Source organism: Homo sapiens, chromosome X, assembly GCF_000001405.40.
Source record: "Homo sapiens chromosome X, GRCh38.p14 Primary Assembly".
In the NCBI taxonomy this organism is placed as follows: domain Eukaryota; kingdom Metazoa; phylum Chordata; class Mammalia; order Primates; family Hominidae; genus Homo; species Homo sapiens.
In genome coordinates, this window is record NC_000023.11 from 4,890,718 (window position 1) to 4,900,335 (window position 9,618).

Consider the following 9,618-nt stretch of genomic DNA (forward strand, 5'->3'; position numbering starts at 1 on the left):
ACTGGTGATTATTCTGAGAGTTAAAAGTTTGAACCCAAAAGTATCTGAGACAGGACTCAATCAATTTAGAAAGTTTATTTTCCAAGGTTAAGCACGTGCCTGTGACATAGCTTCAGGAGGTCTCGATGACGTGTGCCCAAGGTGATCAGAGTAAACCCTCCATTTATATATTTTATGGAGATATAATATATCTACCAAGACATGTAAGGTGTATGTTGGTTCGATCTGGAAAGGTGGGAGTGCTTGAAGCAGAGGCTTTCAGGTCATAGGTAGATTTAAAGATTTTCTGATTGTCAATTGGTTGCAACAGTTATTATCTAAAGACCTGAAATCAATAGAAAGGAATATCTGAGTTATGATAAGGGGTTGTGGAGCAAGGTTTTACCATGCAGATGAAGCCTCCGGGTAGCAGGCTTCAGAGAGAATACATTGTAAATGTTTCTTATCAGACTTACCATCCGTGTTTAAGTGAATGCTGGTTGGCTTTTCCAGAATTCCAAAAGGAAGGAGGATATAATGAGCCATGTTTGATCCCACTCCCCATAATGACCTGAACTAGTTCTTCAGGTTAATTTTGGAATGCCCTTGCTGAGAGGAGGGGTCTGTTCAGATGACCGAGGGGCTCAGAATTTTATTTTTGCTCTACAATGGATTAATAAATAGTGACTGGTGCATATAAATTCAGAAATGTGCATTAATTATTATTCAGTGGTGATGCAATTATCTCATGTTCATGGGACCACTAAGTGGTGGAATCAGGGGTCAAATTTAGGCATGGGTTCCAGTGTCACATGCTTTCTATTGGCCATATGGCTTCTCTGGTTGGAAGGTTTCAACACTACCATAGTTATCCCTTTCCTACTGTATCCTTCTACTGCCTCAGCCGTCTTTCTCAGTGTCAGGCCTCTGAGCCCAAGCCAAGCCATCGCATCCCCTGTGACTTGCACATATATGCCCAGATGGCCTGAAGTAACTGAAGAATCACAAAAGAAGTGAATATGCCCTGCCCCACCTTAACTGATGACATTCCACCACAAAAGAAGTGTAAATGGCCGGTCCTTGCCTTAACTGATGACATTACCTTGTGAAAGTCCTTTTCCTGGCTCATCCTGGCTCAAAAAGCACCCCCACTGAGCACCTTGCAACCCCCACTCCTGCCCGCCAGGGAACAAACCCCCTTTGACTGTAATTTTCCTTTACCTACCCAAATCCTATAAAACGGCCCCACCCTTATCTTCCTTCGCTGACTCTCTTTTCGGACTCAGCCCGCCTGCACCCAGGTGAAATAAACAGCCATGTTGCTCACACAAAGCCTGTTTGGTGGTCTCTTCACACGGACGCGCATGAAATTTGGTGCCGTAACTCGGATCGGGGAACCTCTCTTGGGAGATCAATCCCCTGTACTCCTGTTCTTTGCTCCATGAGAAAGATCCACCTATGACCTCAGGTCCTCAGACCGACCAGCCCAAGGAACATCTCACCAATTTCAAATCAGGTAAGTGGCCTCTTCTTACTCTCTTCTCCAACCTCTCTGTCCCTCAACCACTTTCTCCTTTCCACTCTTCAATCTCTCCCTTCTCTTAATTTCAATTCCTTTCATTTTCTGGGAGAGACAAAGGAGAAACGTTTTATCCGTGGACCCAAAACTCCGGCGCCGGTCACAGACTGGGAAGGCAGCCTTCCCTTAGTGTTTAATCACTGCAGGAATGCCTCTCTGATTATACACCCACGTTTCAAGGGTGTCAGACCACGCAGGGACGCCTGCCTTGGTCCTTCACCCTTAGTGGCAAGTCCCGCTTTTCTAGGGAAGGGGCAAGTACCTCAAACCCTTCTCTCCTTGTCTCTACCCCTTCTCTGCTTTTCTGGGATAGGGGCAAGTACCCCTCAACCCCTTCTCCTTCACCCTTAGCGGCAAGTCCCGCTTTTCTACGGGACAAGAACCCCCAATCCCTTATTTCCACACCCCAACCTCTTATCTCTGTGCCCCAATCCCTTATTTACGTGCCCCAACCTCTTATCTCTGTGCCCCAATTCCTTATTTCCATGCCCCAACCCTTTCTCTGCTTTTCTGGAGGGCAAGAACCCCCAACCCCTTCTCCGTGTCTCTACTCTTTTCTCTGGCCTTGCCTCCTTCACTATGGGCAAGCTTCCACCTTCCATTCCTCCTTCTTCTCCCTTAGCCTATATTCTTAAGAACTTAAAACCTCTTCAACTCTCACCTGACCTAAAATCTAAGCATCTTATTTTCTTCTGCAATGCCGCTTGAGGCCAATACAAACTCGACAGTAGTTCCAAATAGCCGGAAAATGGCACTTTCAATTTTTCCATCCTACAAGATCTAAATAATTCTTGTCGTAAAATGGGCAAATATGGTCTGAGGTGCCTGACGTCCAGGCATTCTTTTACACATCAGTCCCTTCCTAGTCTCTGTGCCCAGTGCAACTCGTCCCAAATCTTCCTTCTTTCCCTCCCGCCTGTCCCCTCAGTCCCAACCCCAAGCGTCGCTGAGTCTTTCTAATCTTCCTTTTCTACAGACCCATCTGACCTCTCCCCTCCTCGCCAGGCCAAGCTAGGTCCCAATTCTTCCTCAGCCTCCGCTCCTCCACCCTGTAATCTTTTTATCGCCTCCCCTCCTCACACCTGGTCCGGCTTACAGTTTCGTTCAGTGACTAGCCCTCCCCCACCTGCCCAGCAATTTACTCTTAAAAAGGTGGCTGGAGCCAAAGGCATAGTCAAGGTTAATGCTCCTTTTTCTTTATCCCAAATCAGAAGCGTTTAGGTTCTTTTTCATCAAATATAAAAACCCAGCCCAGTTCATGGCTCATTCGGCAGCAACCCTGAGACGCTTTACAGCCCTAGACCCTAAAAGGTCAAAAGGCCATCTTATTCTCAATATACATTTTATTACCCAATCTGCTCCCGACATTAAATAAAACTCCAAAAATTAGAATCTGGCCCTCAAACCCCACAACAGGACTTAATTAACCTCACCTTCAAGGTGTACAATAATAAAAAAAAAAGTTGCAATTCCTTCCCTCCACTGTGAGACAAACCCCAGCCACATCTCCAGCACACAAGAACTTCCAAACGCCTGAACCGCAGCGGCCAGGCGTTCCTCCAGAACCTCCTCCCCCAGGAGCTTGCTACAAGTGCCAGAAATCTGGCCACCAGGCCAAAGAATGCCTGCAGCCCAGGATTCCTCCTAAGCCGTGTCCCATCTGTGCGGGACCCCACTGGAAATCGGACTGTTCAACTCACCTGGCAGCCACTCCCAGAGCCCCTGGAACTCTGGCCCAAGGCTCTCTGACTGACTCCTTCTCGGCTTAGCGGCTGAAGACTGACGCTGCCTGATCGCCTTGGAAGCCCCGTAGACCATCATGGACGCCGAGCTTCAGGTAACTCTCACAGTGGAAGGTAAGTCCGTCCCCTTCTTAATCAATATGGAGGCTACCCACTCCGCATTACCTTCCTTTCAAAGGCCTGTTTCCCTTGCCTCCATAACTGTTGTAGGTATTGACAGCCAGGCTTCTAAACCTCTTAAAACTCCCCCACTCTGGTGCCAACTTAGACAATACTCTTTTACGCACTCCTTTTTAGTTATCCCCACCTGCCCAGTTCCCTTATTAGGCCGAGACACTTTAACTAAATTATCTGCTTCCCTGACTACTCCTGGATTACACCTGCATCTCATTGCTGCCCTTCTTCCCAATCCAGAGCCTCCTTTGCGTCCTCCTCTTGTATCCCCCACCTTAACCCACAAGTATAAGATACCTCTACTCCCTCCTTGGCGACCGATCAAGCACGCCTTACCATCTCATTAAAACCTAATCACCCTTACGCCGCTCAACGCCAATATCTCATCCCACAGCATGCTTTGAAAGGATTAAAGCCTGTTATCACTCGCCTGCTACAGCATGGGCTTTTAAAACCTATAAACTCTCCTTACCATTCCCCCATTTTACCTGTCCTAAAACCAGACAAGCCTTACAAGTTAGTTCAGAATCTGCGCCTTATCAACCAAATGTTTTGCCTATCCACCCCGTGGTGCCAAACCCATATACTCTTCTATCCTCAATACCTCCCTCTACTACCCATTATTCTGTTCTGGATCTCAAACATGCTTTCTTTACTATTCCTTTGCACCCTTCATCCCAGCCTCCCTTTGCTTTCACTTAGACTGACCCTGACACCCATTAGGCTCAGCAAATTACCTGGGCTGTACTGCCGCAAGGCTTCACAGACAGCCCCCATTACTTCAGTCAAGCCCAAATTTCATCCTCATCTGTTACCTATCTGGGCATAATTCTCATAAAAACACAGGTGCTCTCCCTGCTGATCATGTCCGAATAATCTCCCAAACCTCAATCCCTTACAAAACAACAACTCCTTTCCTTCCTAGGCATGGTTAGCGTGGTCGGAATTCTTACACAATAGCCAGGACCACACCGTGTAGCCTTTCTGTCCAAACAACTTGACCTTACTGTTTTAGCCTAGCCCTCATGTCTGCCTGCAGCAGCTGCCACTGCTTTAATATTTTTAGAGGCCCTCAAAATCACAAACTATGCTCAACTCACTCTCTACATTTCTCATAACTTCCAAAATCTATTTTCTTCCTCATACCTGACGCATATACTTTCTGCTTCCCGGCTCCTTCAGCTGTACTCACTCTTTGTTAAGTCCCACAATTACCATTGTTCCTGGCCCGGACTTCAATCCGGCCTCCCACATTATTCCTGATACCACACCTGACCCCCATGACTGTATCTCTCTGATCCACCTGACATTCACCCCATTTCCCCAAATTTCCGTCTTTCCTGTTCCTCACCCTGATCACGCTTGATTTATTGATGGTGGTTCCACCAGGCCTAATCACCACACACCAGCAAAGGCAGGCTATGCTATAGTACAAGCCACTAGCCCGCCTCTTAGAACCTCTCGTTTCCTTTCCATCGTGGAAATCTATCCTCAAGGAAATAACTTCTCAGTGTTCCATCTGCTATTCTACTACTCCTCAGGGATTATTCAGGCCCCGTCCCTTCCCTACACATCAGGCTCGAGGATTTGCCCCCACCCAGGACTGGCAAATTAGCTTTACTCAACATGCCCAGAGTCAGGAAACTAAAATACCTCTTAGTCTAGGTAGACACTTTCACTGGATAGGTACAGGCCTTTCCTACAGGGTCTGAGAAGGCCACCGCAGTCATTTCTTCCCTTCTGTCAGACATAATTCCTCAGTTTAGCCTTCCCACCTCTATACCGTCTGATAACAGACCAGCCTTTATTAGTCAAATCAGCCAAGCAGTTTTTCAGGCTCTTAGTATTCAGTGAAACCTTTATATCCCTTATAGTCCTCCATCTTCAAGAAAAGTAGAACGGACTAAAGGTCTTTTAAAAACACACCTCACCAAGCTCAGCCACCAACTTAAAAAGGACTGGACAATACTTTTACCACTTTCCCTTCTCAGAAATCAGGCCTGTCCTCAGAATGCTACAGGGTACAGCCCATTTGAGCTCCTGTATAGATGCTCCTTTTTATTAGGCCCCAGTCTCATTCCAGACACCAGACCAACTTAGACTGTGCCCCCCACCAAAAAAAAACTTGTCATCCCTACTATCTTCTGTCTAGTCATACTCCTATTCACCGTTCTCAACTACTCATACATGCCCTGCTCTTGTTTACACTGCCGGTTTACACTGTTTCTCCAAGCCATCACAGCTGATATCTCCTGGTGCTATCCCCAAACTGCCACTCTTAACTCTTGAAGTAAATAAATAATCTTTGCTGGCAGGACTATGCCGAATCTCCTTAGGCACTCTCTAATCAGATGTCCTAGGTCCTCCCAATTCTTAGACCTTTTATACCTGTTTTTCTCCTTCTCTTATTCCATTTAGTTTTTCAATTCATACAAAACCGTATCCAGGCCATCACCAATCATTCTATACGACAAATGTTTCTTCTAACATCCCCACAATATCACCCCTTACCACAAGACCTCCCTTCAGCTTAATCTCTCCCACTCTAGGCTCCCACGCCGCCCCTAATCCCACTCGAAGCAGCCCTGAGAAACATCGCCCATTCTCTCTCCATACCACCCCCCAAAAATTTTCACCACCCCAACACTTCAACACTATTTTGTTTTATTTTTCTTATTAAGAAGGCAGGAATGTCAGGCCTCTGAGCCCAAGCCAAGCCATCGCATCCCCTGTGACTTGCACATATATGCCCAGATGGCCTGAAGTAACTGAAGAATCACAAAAGAAGTGAAAATGCCCTGCCCCACCTTAACTGATGACATTCCACCACAAAAGAAGTGTAAATGGCCGGTCCTTGCCTTAACTGATGACATTACCTTGTGAAAGTCCTTTTCCTGGCTCATCTTGGCTCAAAAACACCCCCACTGAGCACCTCGCAACCCCCACTCCTGCCCGCCAGAGAACAAACCCCCTTTGACTGTAATTTTCCTTTACCTACCCAAATCCTATAAAACGGCCCCACCGTTATCTCCCTTCGCTGACTCTCTTTTCGGACTCAGCCCGCCTGCACCCAGGTGAAATAAACAGCCATGTTGCTCACACAAAGCCTGTTTGGTGGTCTCTTCACACGGACGCGCATGTTGGCTCAATCTGGAAAGGTGGGAGTGCTTGAAGCAGAGGCTTTCAGGTCATAGGTAGATTTAAAGATTTTGTGATTGTCAATTGGTTGCAACAGTTATTATCTAAAGACCTGAAATCAATAGAAAGGAATATCTGGGTTATGATAAGGGGTTGTGGAGCAAGGTTTTACCATGCAGATGAAGCCTCCGGGTAGCAGGCTTCAGAGAGAATACATTGTAAATGTTTCTTATCAGACTTACCATCCGTGTTTAAGTGAATGCTGGTTGGCTTTTCCAGAATTCCAAAAGGAAGGAGGATATAATGAGCCATGTTTGATCCCACTCCCCATAATGACCTGAACTAGTTCTTCAGGTTAATTTTGGAATGCCCTTGCTGAGAGGAGGGGTCTGTTCAGATGACCGAGGGGCTCAGAATTTTATTTTTGCTCTACAATGGATTAGTAAGTAGTGACTGGTGCATATAAATTCAGAAATGTGCATTAATTATTATTCAGTGGTGATGCAATTATCTCATGTTCATGGGACCATTAAATGGTGGAATCAGGGGTCAAATTTAGGCATGGGTTCCAGTGTCACATGCTTTCTATTGGCCATATGGCTTCTCTGGTTGGAAGGTTTCAACACTACCATAGTTATCCCTTTCCTACTGTATCCTTCTACTGCCTCAGCCTTCTTTCTCAGAGTGTGCCCCATAAGTTTCTGAATGAGACTGATTCTCACTACCATTAAGTTAGAAGGGTCTCTCCTACAAACGTGCTTACCCCAAAGAGGGTCCCTTTTCAGCAGAGTAGCTCTAGAGGGAATCATCACAATGCTTGGTTAGCGTGTTCTGCCCTTTGCTTTTTTGCATGGAAAATTTTAAATGTGAGTGATCCTGGAGCTTGCAGTCTTGACTGGTTCACTCGTTAGTATCCGAGAGAGATCAGATACTCTGCCCTCCATTCTAAGGCCTAGGGCTATGTTTGACGAAACCAAAATAATAGTCCAACGTTTCTTGATTGTCAATTTTCTCCCAGTAATAGTGTTTAAAAAGTAGTGACTAAGTAATCCAAATAATGAGGACAAGATTATTAATAGTTGGTATTGTTAATGTAAAATGTTAATGATCTTAGAAGTTCTGCAAATTCTCTTATGGAGATGTGTCAATGTACATTTGAAGATGGTGAAATTCAGTAAGGCCAAGATATCAGAGCTGGGAAATGGAAAGTGTTCATCAAAGGTCTGGGGGTGGCAGTTATTCGCATCCTGTTCTTTATTCTTTCGAGTTAAAATTCAGGCACTGACAATTCCAGGATAAAAATCTATTTCTCCTTACATATAAATCAGCCATGATTATTCTTAACTAGGAACAGCCAGGGTGTGTGCATAATCATTTAAATTGAGAGCTGAATAATGGATCTTGATTAGCAATACATTGAAGCAAATGTGGGGGAGAAATTAGAGTGCTTCTCTGTTTGTTTCATGCCTAGAATATATTAACTTTGGGGAAATGGCCCATTTTTACAGATGAGCTCAGGAAATACTCCATATGATTCAGGATTCTTTTTCCCAAAGTATTATTTCGCAATGCAGACATCAATAGTGGTGTATTAGCTGAGGTTTAGAAAGGACAAAGATAGATTATTGAAATTTTCTTTTTGTAGGTACAGAGTAGGTTTATATATTTATGGACTGCATGAGATATGTTGATACAGGCATGCCATGCATTATAAACACATCATGGAAAATGGAGTATCCATCCCCTCAAGCATGTATCCTTTTTAATTCAGGATACCATTTTCCTAATATTCTGTAATATTTTATTGTTGGGTTATTTTCAAAGGCTTATTAAGATCTTAACTTACACTCCCATCTTTTGTTTAAATTGATGGCTGTATTAGTCGGTTTTCAAACTGCTATAAAGATATATCTGGGACTGGGTAATTTATAAAGGAAAGAGGCTTAATTGAATCACAGCTCTGCATGGCTGGAGAGGCTGCAGGAAACTTACAATCATGGTGCAAGGGGAAGCAAGCACATCTTCCATGGTGGCAGGAGAGAGAGGAGCAACAGTAGGGAAACCTGCCTTATAAAACCATCAGATCTCATGAAAACTCACTCACTGTCACACTACAGCATGGAGGAAACTGGCCCCATGATCCAATCACCTCCCTCCCTTAACACGTGGGGATTACAATTCGAGGTGAGATTTGGGTGGGGACACAGAGCCAAGCCATATCCATGAACGATGGAATAACGTAATTATTTAGAAACAGCAAATTGTGTGGTGTAATGGTATTACTTTGCATTGGTTCATTTGGAAAGAACCATCAATGTATGCACTTCAATGAAGATATTAATTGTTCATATATTAATAGTTTCTGGATGCATTTCGTTCATATAAATCTTTAGTAGAACTCTATTTGTGGATGAATGTATTTTTTATGGAGTTTAAAGTATATTTATTTTTATATTTAAACTTTATTAGCAACATCCCCCAGAAAACAGAATATTTCCTACAAATCTGTCCCAGCAGCAGAAAATATGGAGTGTCTTTGTACACATAGAAAGTATGTAAATGTTATGGTGAGATCTTACTAATGAAGAATGATGTTTTTATGGCATGACAAGGCAAATATGTAAGAAAAGATAAGAAGATGTTATATGTTTTGTGCCAAATGTGTTAATAATCCTGATGTTAGACCACAGAGGAAGAAGATGTCATATGACAGGGTATAGAGAGTTGATAGATATACCTCACTAGAAAAGAAAGGAAGGTTTATTTAGGGGTAGAATAAAGGAAAGTCTAGGATGCTGCAGAATGAAATCAGCTATTGATGGATGTACTTTAAGGATAGTAGATGATTGTATAGGCATGGGGAAAAAGAGGGAATTAATGATGCATTAAAGAAAAGTTAAAAATTTTTAAAAATATGAATTAATTTATAGAGTCCCTACTATGTGCTATAAAGAATATTTTTCATTTAAGAGAAACAAATAAGAAAAATATGAAAAGGAAAATCTA

General features: G+C 43.8%; 1 annotated feature.

Moving 5' to 3' along the window:
- Positions 708-1,214: an enhancer, noted in NCBI's record as "OCT4-NANOG-H3K27ac hESC enhancer chrX:4809466-4809972 (GRCh37/hg19 assembly coordinates)". NCBI's record gives its function as "activates a minimal SCP1, AML or CMV promoter by ChIP-STARR-seq in naive and primed H9 embryonic stem cells {active_cell/tissue: H9 hESC(naive and primed)}" and the evidence as "EXISTENCE:reporter gene assay evidence [ECO:0000049][PMID:30033119]".